Here is a 17,933-nt window from a genome sequence, read left to right on the forward strand (position 1 = left end):
AAAAAAAATCCACATACAACTTTTGACTTCCCAAAAACTTAACTACCAATAGTCTACTATTGGCCAGAATGTTACTGACAACATAAACAGCTGATTAACACTTTTTTTAATGTTATAAGTATCATATACTGTATTTTTACCATTAAGCCAGCCAGAGAAAAGAAAATAATAAGGAAAATATATTTACTATTCATTAAGTGGGTAATCAGAAAGGAATTCATCCCCTCTGTTTTCACATTGAGTAGGCTAAAGAGGAGAAGGAAAAAGAGGGGTTGGTCTTGCCATCTCAGGGATGGCAGAGGTGAGTAAAAGTTCCATATAAGTGGACCTGAACAGCTCAAACCCATGTTGTTCAAGGGTCAACTATACTTGGAGTCTGTTGAGTTTCTTTGATGTATAGATTAATGTTTTTCATCAAACGCTGGCAGTTTTTGGCCATTATTTTGTCAAGCATATTTTTTGCTCCTTTTTCTCTCTTCCGAGACTACCATTATGCATAGATTGGCATGCTTGATGGTATCCTATAGATCTGCAAGGTTCTCTTCATCTTTGTTAATCTTTTTTTCTTTCTCTTTCTCAGACCAGATTTTCTCAATTGGTTTATCTTCAGGTTCACTGATTCTTTTTCAAATATGCTCTTGAAACCCTCTAGTGAATTTTTTTGTTTCAGTACTTTTTGACTCTAGAATTTCTATTTGGTTGTTTTATTTAAAAAGAAATTATTTAAATGTCTATCTCTTTATTGATATTCTCTCTTAAGTTTTATATCATTTTCATACTTTCCTTTGGTTCTTTATACATAGTTTCCTTTAGTTCTTCAAACATTTAATATCGCTGATTTAACAACTTGGCCTTGTAAGTTTAGCATCAAGGCTTTCTGAGGGACAGTTTCTATTAACTGCTTTTTTTTTCCCAATATATGGGCCCTACTTTGAGTCTCATAATTTCCTGTTGAAAATAGTCATTTTACATAATATAATGTAACAACTATGGAAATCAGACTCTCTCCCATCCCAGGGTTTATTAATATTGCTGGTTGTTTATTTGTTTTGTTTGTTGTTGTTGCTGTTTCTTAGTAACTTTCCTGGACTAATTCTATAAAGTCTCTATCCTTTTTCAAGTGTGGTCACTGAAGTATCTGCTCAGTTTGCTTAGTCATCAGCTAAGAATTGCAGAAATTTCCTCAAATGTCTAGAACAAATAAGTCTCCATAAGTCTCCCAGGCTTTGCTAAGAGTTCCTGTGGGCACATTGTGGCAAACCTTTAACACTCAGGCAGGTAGTTCACATCTCTGCTTTAGCTGTAAATTCCTCCTTGTGCAGACTCAAGGTCAGTCAGAGGTAAGAGCTTAGGGCCTTCTCAAGTCTTTTCTGACCATGCCCATAGCTCAGGCATGTCCACAGTCCTATGTATGTGAGTAGCCTTCAGAATTTCCAGGTAAATGTCAAAGCTTTTCAAAGCCTCCATATGGACATCTCATTCCCCAGATTTCAAGTTCTTCAGTCACATTCTTGTTTGTCCCAAATGTTATTACCACCATAAGCAGCCTAATATTCATACATACATACATACATGTGTGTATATATATGTGTGTGTGTGTGTGTGTGCATGTAAGCCTTGAACAACATGGGTTTGAGCTGTGCAGATCCACTTATACACAGATCTTCTTCCACCTCTGCCATCCCTGCAACAAGACCAACCCCACCTCTTTAGCATACCCAATGTGAGTAGGATAGAGACCTTTCTAACGATACACTTCCACCTAATGAATAGTGAATACTTTTTATCTTCCTTATTATTTTCTTAATAACATTTTCTTTTCTCTAGCTTGCTTAATTACTATACAGTATATAATACATGTAACACAAAATATGTGTTAATTGACTATGTCATCGATAAGGGTTCAGGTCAAAAGCTATTAGTGGTTTTTAGAGTGTCAAATCAGGTCAAAAGCTACTACTGGTTAAGTTTTTAGAGTGTCAAAACTTATATGTGGCCAGGCACAGTGGCTCATGCCTATTATCCCAGCACTTTGGGAGGCTGGGGTGGGCAGATTGCTTGAGTCCAGAAGTTCAAGACCAGCCTGGGCAACATGGCTGGACCCTATCTGTACAAAAAATACAAAAATTAGCCAGGTGTGGTGGTATACGTCTGTGATCCCAGCTACTCGGGAGGCTGACGTAGGAGGATCACTTGAGCCTGGGAGGTCAAGGCTGCAGTGAGCCGTGATCATGCACTGCACTCCAGTTTCCTCAGCGACAGAGCAAGACCCCGTCTCTTAAAAAAAAAAGTTATATGTGGATTTCAACTGCATGGGGTCAGTGTCCCTAATCCCCATAGTGTTCAAGGGTCAACTGTATATAGTTAGATACATGGACACAGAGACACACACACACACACACATACACACACACACATAGAACAAAAACTGAGAGACTTTCCAAGGAGGAAAAGGCAATCCTACCAAGCATGGTGGGAAATTTTGTTTATTGTTTTTTACTGTAAAATAAAACACAGATAAAGAGTAACATATAAATGTGTAGCTTAATGAATTATTAGAAAATGACACCCTTAAAACTATGTCAGAGGAGCATGCAATTCATTGTGTTTCTCTGAATCCTCTATTTCTTGCAAGTTGACAGCTAAACCCAGAGGTTTGAGCAGACTCAGGGTCATTCACTTTGGCCAAACAATATAGTGCTGTGGTCTTTCATTAAGAGGCACATCATGTCTGGTTGTGATGTGAACAATTATTGCTGTTGAATACTTATAGCCATTAATTTACTGGGACTTTCAAAGTGGTGGTATCCTAATTCTAACATTTCTTTTTCTTTCTTTTTTTCTTTTTTTTGAGACAGAGTCTCACTCTGTCACCCAGGCTGAGATGCAGTGGTGTGATCTTGGTTCATTGCAACCTCTGCCTCCCAGGTTCAAGCAGTTCTCCTGCCTCAGCCTCCCGAGTAGCTGAGACTACAGGCCTGTGCCACCACATCCAGCTAATGTTTTTGTATTTTTAGTAGAGACAGGGTTTCACCAGGTTGGTCAGGCTGATCTCGAACTCCTGATCTCAACTGATCCACTCACCTTGGCCTCCCAAAGTGCTGAGATTACAGGCGTGAGCCACTGCACCCAGCCTTCTAATGCTAACACTTCTATTTCGTTAGTTGAAATACTTCAATAAAGTGATGCTTCTCTTCACCTATTATTTGGTTATCCAATGGTATAGTTCATGTAGTAAAGGCAGGATAATTTTTGTGTGTGTGTGATGGAGTCTCGCTCTGTCGCCCAGGCTGGAGTGTAGTGGCATAGTCTCAGCTCACTGCAACCTCCACCTCCCAGGTTCAAGTGATTCTCCTGCCTCAGCCTCCTGAGTTGCTAGGATTATAGGTGCGTGCCATCACACCCAGCTAATTTTTGTATTTTTAATAGTGACGTGGTTTCACCATGTTGGCCAGGCTGGTCTTGAACTCCTGACCTCAGGTGATCCAGCTGCCTTGGCCTCCCAAAGTGCTGGGACTACATTCATGAGCCACTGTGCCCAGCTTGGGAAAGGCAGGATAAATTTTTGATCTTTCCCTTTATTGGTTTTCAAGGTAACACATTTGTTTCCTATTATTTTCTAATTGTGAGCAATTTTTCTATCATTATGAACTCATGGATTTGATGAGTTTCACTCTATTGTGATTATGATCCTTATTGAGGCTAAATTTATCTCATATCTGGAGTGGGAACCACTTCAAGTTTGGGTCTGTGTCCTTTTGATTTAATCCTAGTGTATTAATCTGTTTTCATGCTGCTGATAAAGACATACCTGAGACTGGTCAATTTACAAAATAAAGAGGTTTAATTGGACTTACAGTTCCACATGGCTGGGGAAGCCTCACAATCGTGGTGGAAAGCAAGGAGGATCAAGTCCTGTCTTATGTGGATGGCAGCAGGCAAACAGAGCTTGTGGAGGGAAATTCCCACTTTTAAAACTATCAGGTCTAGTGAGACTCATTCATCATCAAAAGAACAGCGCAGGAAAGACCCACCCCCATAATTCAATCATACCCCACTGGGTCCCTCCCACACGCATGGGAATTATGGGAGCTACAAAATGAAATTTGGGTGGGGACACAGAGCCAAACCATATCCTTCTGCCCCTGGCCCCTCCCAAATCTCATATCTTCACATTTCAAAACCAATCATGCCTTTCCAACAGTCCCCCAAAGTCTCAACTCATTTCAGCATTAATTCAAAAGTCCACAGTCCAAAGTCTCATGTGAGACAAGGCAAGTTTCTTCTGCCTATGAGCCTGCAAAATCAAAAGCAAGGTAGTTACTTCCTAGATACAATGGGAGTAGAGGCATTGGGTAAATACAGCCATTCCAAATGGGAGAAATTGGACAAAACAAAGGGGCTACAGGGCCCATGCAAGTCTGAAATCCAGCGGGGCAGTCAAATCTTAAGGCTCTAAAATGATCTCCTTTGACTCCAAGTCTCACATCCAGGTCAAGCTGATGCAAGAGGTGGGTTCCCATGGTTTTGGGCAGCTCCGCCCCTGTGGCTTTGCAGGGTACAGCCTCACCCAGCCCAGCTTTCATGGGCTGGCATTGAGTGTCTGCAGCTTTTCCAGGCACATGGTGCAAGCAATCAGTGGATCTACCATTCTGGGGTCTAGAGGATGGTGGCCCTCTTCTCACAGCTCCACTAGGCAGTACCCCAGTAGGGACTTTGTGTGGGGGCTCTGACCCCACAGCTTCCTATCACACTGCCCTAGCAGAAGATCTCCATGAGAGCCCCACCCCTGCAGCAAACTTCTGCCTGGGCATCCAGGCGTTTCCATACAGCTGCTGAAATCTAGGTGGAGGTTGCCAAACTTCAATTCTTGACTTCTGTGTACCTGCAGGCTCAACACCATGTGGAAGCTGCCAAGGCTTGGGACTTGCACCATTTGAAGCCACAACCCAAGCCCTACATTGGCCACTTTCAGCCATAGCTGGAGTGGCTGGGACACAGGGCACCAAGTCCCTAGGGTGCACACAGCTCGGGGACCCTGGGCCTGGTCCACGAAACCACTTTTTCCTTCTAAGCGCCCAGGCCTACCATGGGAGGGGCTGCCATGAAGACCTCTGACATGCCCTGCATACATTTTCCCCATTGTTTTGGGGATTAACATTTGTCTCCTCACTACTTATGCAAATTTCTGTAGCTGGCTTAAATTTCTCCTCAGAAAATGGGATTTTCTTTTCTATGACAGTGTCAGGCTGCAAATTTTTCAGACATTTATGCTGTTTCCCTTTTAAAACTGAATGTTTTTAACAGCACCCAAGTCACCTTTTGAATGCTTTGCTGCTTAGAAATTTCTTCCACCAGATACCTAAATCATCTCTCTCAAGTTCAAAGTTCCACAAGTCTCTAGGACATGGGCAAAATGCCACCAGTCTCTTTGCTAAAACATAACAAGAGTCACCTTTGCTCCAGTTCCCAACAAGTTCCTCATCTCTATCTGAGACCACCTCAGCCTGGACCTTATTGTCCATATCACTATCCGCATTTGGGGCAAAGCCATTCAAAAAGCTCCAAACTTTCCCACATTTTCCTGTCTTCTTCTGAGCCCTCCAAACTGTTCCAATCTCTGCCAGTTACCCAGTTCCAAAGTCGCTTCCACATTTTCAGGTATCTTTTCAGCCATACCCCTCTCTCGGTACCAATTTACTGTATTAGTCAGTTTTCATACTGCTGATAAAGACATACCCAAGACTGATCAATTTACAAAATAAAGAGGTTTAATTGGACTTACAGTCCCACGTGGCTGGGGGAGCCTCACAATCATGGTGGAAGGCAAGGAGAGGCAAGTCCCGTCTCATGTGGATGGCAGCAGGCAAAGAGAGCTTGTGCAGGAAAATTCCCATTTTTAAAACCATCAGATCTAGTGAGACTCATTCACTATCACAAGAGCAGTGCAGGAAAGACCCACCCCCAAAATTCAGTCATCTCCCACCGGGGTCCCTCCCACAACATGTGGGAATTATGGGAGCTACCTACAAGATACAGGTGTAGGCAAGCCTCTAGGGATAGTTCAATCATGCCAAGCTCAATACCTGTAGTAGCCAAGATGCCACCACCCCTAGGCCCAAAGAGACAAGGAAAGGGAGGTTATAATTTGAAAAGGAATAATTTTGTAAATTTAGCTATCTTGAGAGGAATAGCCTTTTGTCAAGAGATACAACCAGGTGATCTTGTAAGAAGAAATCCAGGGGAATAATTACCCTGACCTCAGCTTTATCCCTTTCTCCAAGGTCTTGTTGGGGATCCTTCACTTGGATTACTCACTGCAATACCCTCCTAATTGGTGTCTATGCTTCTTCCACCGTTGTATTCCCAACACAGCAGCCAAACTGATCGTGTTAAAATAGAAGGCAGATGAGGTCACTCATTATTTCAGTATTCTTCAATAGTTTCCATCTCACTCAGAGTAAAAGTCAAAGTCCTTATGACAACCCACAAGACCCTTCATGATCTGAATCTCCTTTCATTATCATTCCAACCTTACCTTAATATCTATGCCTCCCATATTCGGTTCCTGCCACACCTATGTCAAGTCTGCGCTTGATATTTCATCCATTGGAATACATTTCCTACAAATCTCTGCTTGGCTCCTTAGACACTGTCCTCCCTGGCCACAGGGAAGATTGCAACAGTCCCCACCATAGCCTGCCTACCCCCATTCCCTACTTTCTTTTCTTTCTTTTTTTCTTTTTCTTTCTTTCTTTTTTTTCTTTTGAGATGGAATTTCACTCTGTTGCCCAGGCTGGAGTGCGGTGGCACAATCTCACCTCATTGCAACCTCCGCCTCCTGGGTTCAAGCGATTCTCCTGCCTCAGCCTTCCGAGTAGCTGAGATTACAGGCGCGTAATGCCTGGCTAATTTTTTGTATTTTTAGTAAAGACAGGGTTTCTCCATGTTGGCCAGGCTGGTTTCAAACTCCTGACCTCAAGTGATCCACCCACCTCGGCCTCCCAAAGTGCTGGGATTACAGGCATGAGCCCCCATGCCTGGTCCCTACTTTCTTTCTCTTTGTTTCTTTTTTTTTTTTTTTAGATGGAGTCTCGCTGTGTCGCTAGGCTAGAGTGCTGTGGCATGATCTCAGCCCACTGCAAACTCTGCCTCCCGGGTTCAAGTGATTCTCCTGCCTCAGCCTCCCAAGTAGCTGGGACTACAGGCACACGCCACCACACCCAGCTAATTTTTGTATTTTTAGTAGAGACGGGGTTTCACCATATTGGCCAGGATGGTCTCGATCTCCCGACCTCATTATCCGCCAGCCTCAGCCTCCCAAAGTGCTGGGATTACAGGTGTAAGCCACCGCACCCAGCCCCTATTATTTTTCTATTCAACACTTACCAACTAATGTGCAAGATATTTTTCTGATTTATATTTATCTTTTTTTGCAAGGAAAAATAAATAAATTATTTATATTTATCTTATTGCCTGCATCACCAATCAGGATGCAAACTCCATGAAGAAGGAACTTTTGTCTGATTACTCCTATGCCTCACACAAAGTAAGAAATCAACAATTATTTGTTGGATCAATGAATGAAAGACTACGATTTAAGAAGTAATAAGAAGTAATCTCCCCTTGATATCCGTTAAAAATGGCTCATGTATTTTCACCAGTTTGCATAATGTTTTTCTGAGCTGCTTACAGTTATAAATGCTAGCCTGGGCTTGCTAATTATAATTTAGAACTCTGTCTGTTCCACTAGATGGTGTCTGCTTTTCCTCTATGACATAAATGGGGCTAAATGAACTAGAGGCAAAGACCAAAAATATATAGAAGAGGGACACAGGTTTGAGCTTTGGAATCAGATAGACCTGGATTTGCATCCCAAATACTCCACTTGAAAGTGTAGGTGACTCTTTGTGCCTCCACTGTTGCAAAATCAATGTGAAATTAAAACCAGCCCAATTTTCCCATAAAACTAAGCTTGAGAAATTTACATTTGTCTTATCTGAGTTTCTTTCTCAGGAAACCACCATCAGGCCTCCCAGATGGTAGCAGGGAGCTGAGGCTTTCCAGATCACCACACCTGAACAATGAGAGGCACCTGCTCCTTGTTGACCAACTCCTCTTCCTTGTCCCTCCTGTTTTCCTTCCCTGTTATATAAGCCCATAATTTTAGCCAGTTAAGGAGAGACAGATTTAATTATTAGGTTGATGTCATCTGCAATAAAGCTTTCCTTCCTGGGCAATATTCCTTTTCTCAGTGATTGGCTTTCTATATGGAGAGCAATAAGACCTAGGCCAAACTCCTGGCATTTGGCAACAAAATAGTGGAAAGAGCACTTTGGCTTAGGAATGTGAGTCTTGGATTCTAATCTAGCTGTGACTTTGGGCAAGTTATTTAATTTATTGCACATTCTCAAATTCCTCACCTGTAGAATAAGGATAATATCTCCATTATGGGATTCTTCTAAAAGTGAACAACAAAGCACCTGACACAGAAGGTAATTGGTAAATGTTAATTTCTGTCACTAATATAGGGTAGTCATGACTTTTCTATCAAAGATAACTTTGTTCATTGGTAAGAAGACACTCACTCTAGAGGTATTTTTTCCCATGACTTTTATCCTCCTAAGGAGTCTAGGGTAATTGTGTTTCAATATGACTAATAACCCTATCACTAGACACTAAAACCAGAAGCATATTCCTATTAGGAAGATTTTACCCAGAAATATACATTCCTAACAGAATGGAAAGTGATAGCGAGTACTGCCAGCTTACAACATTCCTTTTGCATACACTGTCTGTTTTCTATTACAGGTGGAATCCATTTTAATGAATACCATTTTAAACATCTGTTTCTACACAGTGAGGCTATTTTTGTGTTCTAACAGATGGGCTACAGGAACCTTGCTTTGTTGACTTGGCTAAAACAAATTCTAAAAAATGAAAATTCTTTCTTCACAAATACTGTCCCTGCAGAAATAAGTTTTTTAAATAAAAGGTAATTATCCTTTGTAAATGTGATAACTTAGCCTAGGCTAGTTCCAAGAAAACAGATAAAGGGCTGGGTTGGTGGATGGCAAAGTAGACTAGACAGCCAGAGAAAATAAAAGATAAAAATGGAGCAAAGCCCTCAAGTAAGGTCTGTTAGAAAGTACTTAAGCCAGAACTCTACTTATAAACATAACCTCTCCTTCCACGGCCAGCTCACTCATGTTACCTCCTCTACAAAGCCTTTCCAATTCCCTCTACACATATAACTCAGTTCTCTGTCTCCCGTACTTTCAATTGTTTAAATCTGGGTAGTGGCATTTATCAGTGTTTGTCTTGTACCTTTAAAGGTAATCGTTTTCTGCTCTTTCCCTTTCCCCCACCAAGACTGTGAGCTCAGAGCACTAGGACGAAGAATGATTCAACTTCCTATGTCCAATAACTAGCACAGAGCTTAATACTCATGGATGCTTAATAAATGCTCATTGAATTTAACACCTATGAAGAAGTATTCCTGTGCTTGAATTGAGCATTCTTACCTAATTTGGGTGCTCCCTGAGACCAAGAACTATGTTTCATTTCCTTGGGATTTGGCACAAAGACTCTTAGTACCACATGTTGGTTGAAAAAAATTAAATTACTATGCCAAAGTTAATATGCAAAGTCAAACTGACCTTTGTTTCACGACTTGGATGCACATATAAATCTACTACATGCTGCTGAATTAAATGCTAATAGTAAGTGACTCAACTACAGTGTGTCCTGGGGAAACTCAGCCTAAAGCTCTTCACTGTAGCCACTGCCTAGAAGGAAGGGCAAAGGCGAAATTCTCCAAGACGAAGACTTGACACACCACCGGGTTTGGCGAGCTGCGGAAACAGGTTACCTCAAAAAAACCTGAGTCTGGATCTGGGACTGTGGCAATTGACTTGAAGGAGACCGCTGGGAGCACAGTGGAGGGCTTGGTCCCCTTCCGTCAAGTTACATCCAACTAAAGCCTGGCGCCAACTTCAGCTAACCATTCCAAAAGAGGCGACAGCTTCTGACCCCCGAGCCCCAGGCTTCCTGCCTTCAAGTCCCGGCTTTCCAGAGACTCTGGCTTCCAGGCCTGGCCTGGCTTCGGGCGCGAGGCTCTGGCTTCCAGCCAGTAGCAGAGGCACCGCCCAGTTGCGAAAGCTCTGGGCACGCCCGTCACCTCTAGGCTCATGAGTTGGCCTGGTTGGTCTTCCCACTCCTCACTCGTCCTCAGTCCTCACTCTCCATTACTGCCACCTAGCAAGCTTCGAACGTACTAGGGGGAAAAATGGCCCCCGCTCTTTTTGCTCCTATGGGGGTTGGTGGCCTACGTGGAGTCTCCTATTTGCAGGTCTGAGTTAGCAACATGGCACCAATTTTCACTCGTTTTCTCTTGCTCCCATTCCTTGGCATCCACTGGGCTTTGGGGATTTGGAGTCAATGGCATTCCTCTCTCTGATCTAGAGTCACTTGAAGAGTCTGTGCTCTAGTTGACGCCTGCGGCTTGCAATAAAGGATCCCTTGTACTGATTGTAAGGGAAAGGCTCAAATCTTTTTAAAAGGAGAAAGTGTTAAGTCTAAAACTAAGAAAAGTTGCCTTATTCTCACCCTTCCAAAATGGTCTTTGGAATAATGACATAATCCTCATTCCCCACTTCCTTATATCTGAACACTTTCTGGAAAGAAACTTATTTCCCACCACATGCTAATTAAGGTAGAAGTCAGGAGCCTGTCCTTTAGGGATGACCTCATTTTTGCAGGGTAATGGTAATGAAATGTACTAGGGGTAAAAAGTAATATCAAGGCTAACTTATTCCAAAATTAAGATTTGCTGAAACTTAACATATGAAACATAAGCACAGAACATGATAAAAGCAACCAATTCAGCCTGAATATATTTTCTGTTAGTATAATCCATCAAATGTTTTTCAAAATGGGATCCATCTTATTCACTGTCAAAAGTGATGTGTGTTCAAAGTTAGTATTTCACTTTTGAATTTCTATAGTCCCACCCTCTGAGTTTATGCAACATATGAATATAATTGCCAGCCAATGTAACATGCCTAATGAATTGGAAAAAGAATGTTCAAAACAAGTTAAAAGGTAGTATAAATATAATGGAGTGTAGGCTGTGTGGACACATGAATCTAAGCTATTTATTCGCTGTGTATCTCTTTAAGCAATTTATTTGTCTTAAATTGGGCTCCTGCACAACTATGGCCCTAAGACAAGAATTAGGATACAGAGAACTTTATTTGGGAAGCATGGTAAGGAAGTGAGACTGGTAAGAGAGGAAAGCCAATAAAAATTGTGTCAAAAAATAAGGTTTCTACTGAGGGCAACTGGAACTCAATTCTACTGGAGACCCTCTGAAAGACTATATAAAACAGAACTCAGAATTATTCCACTGAGGGGCAAGAAAACTGAGATATACCAATTCCCTTCTCTCAGTGGTTGAGGGTTACTCCTGGGAATGTAATTCTCTGGTACTTCCCTTGGCAGCCTTCCCTTGAGCAGCATGCTCTTGCTGCCAGAAAGATAAGTAGTTGAGATTTGAAGCCATTGGCATGAGATGCATGGGAACTCCCATTGAAGCTGCAGGTGGCCTTAATGGTGGGCAAGAGGATGTGGGCAGGGTATTGATTATGTCCGTATTCATTCACTTTGTTTCTGTGTAAACTGGAGATAATAATTACCCATCTCATAGAATGATGTTAAGTCTCTGGCCCATAAAAATACTAAAAAATTATTTAAATGTGTTAATATAATGTGTATATAATAGGCACTTCTTTTTAAATTTTTTGGCATACATTAATATTTGATTGTGGTGCCACTCTATTTGTGGCACACATTCCTGTTTTCTGCAGTCTACTTCTATTCACACCCGTTAGGATTCTTAACTATTACTTTACCTGGAATATGTTTCTAACCTGATTCCTTAACACCCTGCTTTTTCCCCCTAGAATTATTTATGCATCCTCACTAGACCATGAAGAGAATGAAGACAGTGTAATTTATCCTTCAACAAAAATGTATGAAACACTTCAACAAACCAAGGAATACAAAGATTAAAAAGAAAGTCCCCTGCCAGTCACAGCCAGTCATAGTGTTTCCTGCCTGTAATCCCAGCACTTTGGGATAAGGCAGGCAGATTGTTTGAGATCAGGAGACCAGGCTGGGAAACATGGTGAAACCCTGTCTCAAAAGAAAAAAAAAAAAAGCCCTCACTCTCAGGGTATTCACAATTCAGGCTCAATATAAAGCAAAAATTAAACATAAATACATTATGGTACTCTGACAAAGGTAAGAAGCAAATAGGAGGAGTTAACTGATCCTGTCTATGAGAATCAGAGAAAACTTCAGGAGGAGATGGTACCTAAGAGATGGTACCTAAGCATAGGGTCAATGAATAAGTAGAATTTAGTCCAGAAGAATACAGATCAGACTGTTAACAGTGGTTATCTGTGGAGAGAGAAGTGTGAGTGTGTGTGTGTGTGTGTGTGTGTGTGTGTGTAGTTTCGAGAGGGGAGATCAAGATGAAGGAATACTTACCTTTTAACTGCGTGTATTTTTGTGTTGTGTGAATGTTTTACTAAGAATGTGTAATCATCAGTTGTTTGTGTAGTTTAAAAAAGAACATTAGCTTGAAGGTCTAATATATGCCAGCCCCTGTGGTAAATGCTCTGTATACATTATTGCATTTAACTCTAACAATCATCATTGTACATATACCAAGAGAGGCTAAACATCTTGCTCAGTTGTCACAGCTGGTAAATAATAGAACCATAATTTGAACCCAGGGTTTTTCTGGCTTCAGATCCGATGACTGATAGATACACCATTAGGATTAACAAAACCCAAGGGACTGCTATTAAATTTGTGGACCATGGGGTTTTGTGCTGCGTAGGGAAAGAGGTAGGGCTGGAAGTAAAGCCAAAGAGTGGTTATAAATTGGGGGTGTGGGAAGGGAAAAGTCAAGTGTATGGGAATCTCAATGCACTAAAATTATAGTGGAATTAAGGTAGTAAAAACTGAAATAATGATCAGAGAGAAGCGTATTATCATCAAAGAATGGAATATAAAAGTTGAAATTTCAGAGGCAAAGCAGTTTGGGACTGAGGTGGGGGAGGGTGGAGGACAGCATGGAAAATAGGGGGAGAGTGATCATAGTTAGCATTTATTAAGTTTTTAGAGTACTGGGTACTATACTGAGCACTTTGTGTGCATTGTCTTACTTAATCCTCACAATCCATAGTAAGGTAAATACTATCGTCACTTTCATTTAATAGATGATATGGTTTTGATTACTTTCCCAAATTAAGCTAATAGAATCAAATTTTCATAAGGCAGCTTCATTTCATAGTCAATTTTATTACTGTATTATTCAGCAGATTTTTTCCAATGTTATTTTTTAAATCATTTCTTAGAGTTTTACAAAATAATTATAATCACAAATATTAATGATTTAGTATTAAATAACGTGACTTAAAACACCTGTTTTGTTATATTATGGTTGTATTTTATTATGCTTTTCAGATCAAATAAAAGAGAATCAATGTGAGTGCTAAACTAAACTACTTATTTTGGACAGCTACCATTTTAAAATTCAGAGCAGGCTATACTTCAAAGAATTTAATTTATGGGAGGAAAATGATTTTATGGATATTCAAACTAAGAGTTTGAACACAAAATAAAGGTAAGAACTGGCAAAAAAACCTTTTATTTGGAAACATTTAAAAATCATTTTATAAAGCAAACAGAAGAAAATGTCAGCAAGATAAAAATATCTATAAAAAATCAACAAGAAAAAAACACTTAATTCTACCTTAACAGAAAAAGTGATATTGCTGGGAATTATAAACTTGAAGAAACATAGAGATATCAAATTATGTATTAAAAGAAAATTTTAAATTAACCAAAAAAAAGAGAAAACAGTTGAAAAGAATACCTAATCCAACATACTTTAATAAATATTAACAGTACGATCTGACACATGGTTGGTAAATGCATTGAGAAATGCTCCTGGAAATAAAAAAAGGTTTAGTAAGCATCTTAGTATTAAATTTAACTAACTCTCTTCGGAATGACAAAAACAATCACTTCAAACTAAAAACAAAAAATAGATATTATGTCTCTAGTAGATTGTTAACATTTCTTAACTCAAAGATAATTAGAGTTTCAGAACATGAAAATCATATGACCTGTTTAAACAACTGCCTTCAAAACTATTCTATGTGTTAAATAGGAAAATATAGGGACAAAAGTCCCGCAATGTTTTATTTAAAGCATGTCATGGAGGTTTATGGTCTTTACATGGTTTAATAAATGGTAGAGACACTTGGCAAGTGTTTACAGAAATATCATTTACCAACCAAAATTCACCCAAAAAAGGAAGTCAAAGTCCCTAGTCTTCCTAACTTCTGTTGACAAAAAACAACCAAAATTCAAAAGAGTCAAGTTACAGAAAATATAGATTTGATTGTAATACAACAAGAATATTCAAAGTATTAGTCAATGTCACATTTGAGTTATTAAATCACATTCAAATAATGCAAATGTATCAAAAAGCTATTAGATTTATTTAGAAATTCATGGCAGTCTCTTAACAAGTTGAATATATTATTAAAAACTTAAAAAACTGTCTTATTGTAAATATACGTATATATATATTTTTAAACTGCAGAATAGTAGCATCAGGGAAAAACACAAAAAAGAACCATTACATTTATTTAAAAATTCATGACAGTCTCCTAACAACTTCAAATGTATTTAAAACCAAAAAAATTGTCTTATTGTAAATAAATAAATACATATATATGTGTGTGTATATTTTAACTACAGAATAGTAGCATCAGGGGAAAACACAGGAACATTTTTCACAAATGTAAAGTATAATTTTCTTCTCATGGATTTAAAACTTGAAGGCCAGGAAGTCTTATGCCAGATAAACAAGACAAATAGGAAAACTAATAGTTAATTTTATATATTCCTTAGTGAGATGGATTACTCATCATTAAAATTGAACTTTCATAAGCCTGCTGCTTCAAGTACTTTAAATAAAAGAAAGACGTGCACCATAGATGATCAAACTGTCACAATAACTGTAGGTAAACTTGAGATCACAATGCTTTTCCTCTGTATGAGTACACATTATTAGTATTTTTAAATGTTATTTCTGAGATTTGAAAAAGCAGTCTATAGGCTGTATAGTTGTCCAAGAATTTCATAGATTATACTTTTGACGGTTAACCGGTTCTTCAATTTTCATTATTTAGGCTAATGTCATTGCATTGAAATATATCCTAGGTTACTAGAGAAAAGCTTCTGAAGACATTATTTCCCTATTTCTAACATAAAAGAACTGTCAAAAGGAATATGGACACCTGTGACTTTTAAACATATCTTGAACAAGAAATTAAGGATCCAAGTACTTTTCCCCTCTTCTCAAAACTTCTATCAGTTATATGTGTGACGTATTGTACTTAACAGGGGCTCCTTGAAATAACAGTTTATGTAAGCAGAGTGAAAGGGAATCGCATAGTGAGGTTTTAACAAGTCCTCTTTCTAGCAACAGATTATTTCTTTGTTGAAAACACTTGAAATTAATTGTGGAATATTTATAATTATTTCTCTTTCACAACATTAATGTAGTTCCCACCACAAGGGTACTAACAATTTCCTCTTTAACCATGTAAGTATGATTAAATGGATTATTTTTTCAGGGTAAGTAGGATGAAGTCTAATATGTGTTAGATTAGACTTCATCCTACTTACCCTGCGTGTGTGTGTGTGTGTACTTTTTTTTTTTTTTTTTAGAGACTCTGTAACCTAGGCTGGGGTGCAGTGGTGTGATCATACCTCACTGCAGCATCAAACTCCTGGGCTCAAGCAATTCTGCCTCAGCCTCCCGAGTAGCTAGGACTACCAGGCGCACACTACCATGCTTAGGTAAGTTTTTTTATTATTATTATTTCTGTAGAGAAAGGGTCTCGCTATGTTGCCCAGGCTGGTCTCAAACTCCTGGGCTCAAGTGATTCTCTCACCTCAGCCTCCCAGAGCACTGAGATTACAGGCGTGAGCAACCATGCCTGGCCTGAAATGTTATATATTTATATAATACGATGTTTTTGCTAGTTTTGCATAAATTGTCTCATTTAACTTTCTCACAGAAATCTTTCTTTTCTTTTCTTTTCTTTTTTTGTGAGACCGAGTCTCGCTCTGTCGCCCAGGCTGGAGGGCAGTGGCACAAACTCGGTCACTGCAAGCTCCGCCTCCCGGGTTCACGCCATTCTCCTGCCTCAGCCTCGCGAGTAGCTGCGACTACAGGCGCCCGCCATCATGCTTGGCTATTTTTTTGTGTGTGTTTTTTAGTAGAGACGGGGTTTCACTGTGTTAGTCAGGATGGCCTGGATCTCCTGACCTCATGATCCACCTGGCTCGGCCTCCCAAAGTGCTGGGATTACAGGCGTGAGCCACCGCGCCCGGCCAGAAATCTTTTTCACTTTAATCAAAATTCAGAGAAGTGAATGCCTCATCCAAAATCCCCCAGACCATAGCAGAAATTGAAATCAAGTCTCTTATTACTCCAGATCTCATGTTTATACAGACTGTCCTGTCTCTGTATGATAAGTAAGTGGTAATTCCTCAGTATCTGTACTCTCGTTTATATTTAGAGTCTGCTCTAGATAATCAGTTTAAGAAAAATGAAATATGTTCTATCTTTAGTTTTGAATGATGACTATGTAATCATAGTACTAGGCTCTTTATCTAAGGCTTCAATGCCTTTTGGGAAGAAAAAAGAAGACTCAAAGAAATAAAATATGTTTAACAGTCAGATAAGTTCCAAGAGAGATTTTCTATTTTTTTCCCTGTCAGCTACTCCAAATGTATCTCAGATGCCTTACACTAATCAGAAAAGGGAGTAAACATGTTCCCCTCTCTTCTGATTGAACAAACAAGGAAACTCAAATAAAGTTCAATTAATTCTGTACTCCAGTTTTACGATGGTAAAATTTAAATCATGCAGAACTTCCAGGAGAGATGAAAAGTTGGGCATGCAGGTGTGGCGGTGTGTGCCTGTAGTCTCAGCTTCAAGGCTGCACAGTGAGCTATGATTGTGCTACTGTACTTCAGCCTCAGCAATAGAGTGAGACCGTGTCTCAAACAACGACGACAACAACAACAACAACAACAACAAAAGCAAAGAAACAAAAAAACAGAAAGGAAAAGAAAAGTTGGCCATTGTATCCCCAATCCAGCTCGTTGTGCACAAATCATGTGTCTAGGACCACATCGCTTTTCTTGGGCATTTCCTCTACTGTTGAAAAATATCCTACAGAGAACTTTCTCTTCCTTAGAATACCTTCTTCTCTCTTTTCCCTGTGCCTGGCACATTTGAACTCTTTTGTCACTTCTTCCATACTCCAAAACACCCGCAATCTGCCCTCTTCCCCTCTATTTCAGGTTGTAGCCTTTCCTCTAACAGGTATGCCTAGAAAATCATGCCTTAGTCATGCGGTGGCACTTCATCATTATCATTTCTTTTGCCTATTTTCTCTGCTGGATGGAGAGGAGTAACTCCAAGCTTTTTCTTCCCATTTTCTCTTTTGTTTGTTTTTGGTTACTCTGGATATAAAAAAAAAATCAGACATCTAGACATCTCTCACTGTGAAAATTCATCTTGTATCAATAGCTCTCATCTGACATGTGCACTACATTCATATTCTTACTAGGCTAAGTTTTAGATCTTTTAATGCTAAAAAAGCATCTGTTTCTACTGACCCTTTGTTAAATTAGCCTTAGCACATGCATGCTCAGTTGCCTCCTCCTGACTTGTCTTGTCTTGTCTCGTCCGGTCCCATCCCTTCCCTTTGCCTCCCCTCCCTTCCCCTTTCCTTTCCTTTTCTCTCTCTCCCTTCCTTCCTTCCTTCCTT

At 39.7% G+C, this 17,933-nt stretch overlaps 2 annotated features.

Annotated features, from left to right (window-relative positions):
* Positions 9,561–10,061: an enhancer, noted in NCBI's record as "H3K4me1 hESC enhancer chr1:51537346-51537846 (GRCh37/hg19 assembly coordinates)". NCBI's record gives its function as "activates a minimal SCP1, AML or CMV promoter by ChIP-STARR-seq in primed H9 embryonic stem cells {active_cell/tissue: H9 hESC(primed)}" and the evidence as "EXISTENCE:reporter gene assay evidence [ECO:0000049][PMID:30033119]".
* Positions 10,062–10,562: an enhancer, noted in NCBI's record as "H3K4me1 hESC enhancer chr1:51537847-51538347 (GRCh37/hg19 assembly coordinates)". NCBI's record gives its function as "activates a minimal SCP1, AML or CMV promoter by ChIP-STARR-seq in primed H9 embryonic stem cells {active_cell/tissue: H9 hESC(primed)}" and the evidence as "EXISTENCE:reporter gene assay evidence [ECO:0000049][PMID:30033119]".

This window comes from Homo sapiens, chromosome 1, assembly GCF_000001405.40.
Source record: "Homo sapiens chromosome 1, GRCh38.p14 Primary Assembly".
Lineage (NCBI taxonomy): Eukaryota > Metazoa > Chordata > Mammalia > Primates > Hominidae > Homo > Homo sapiens.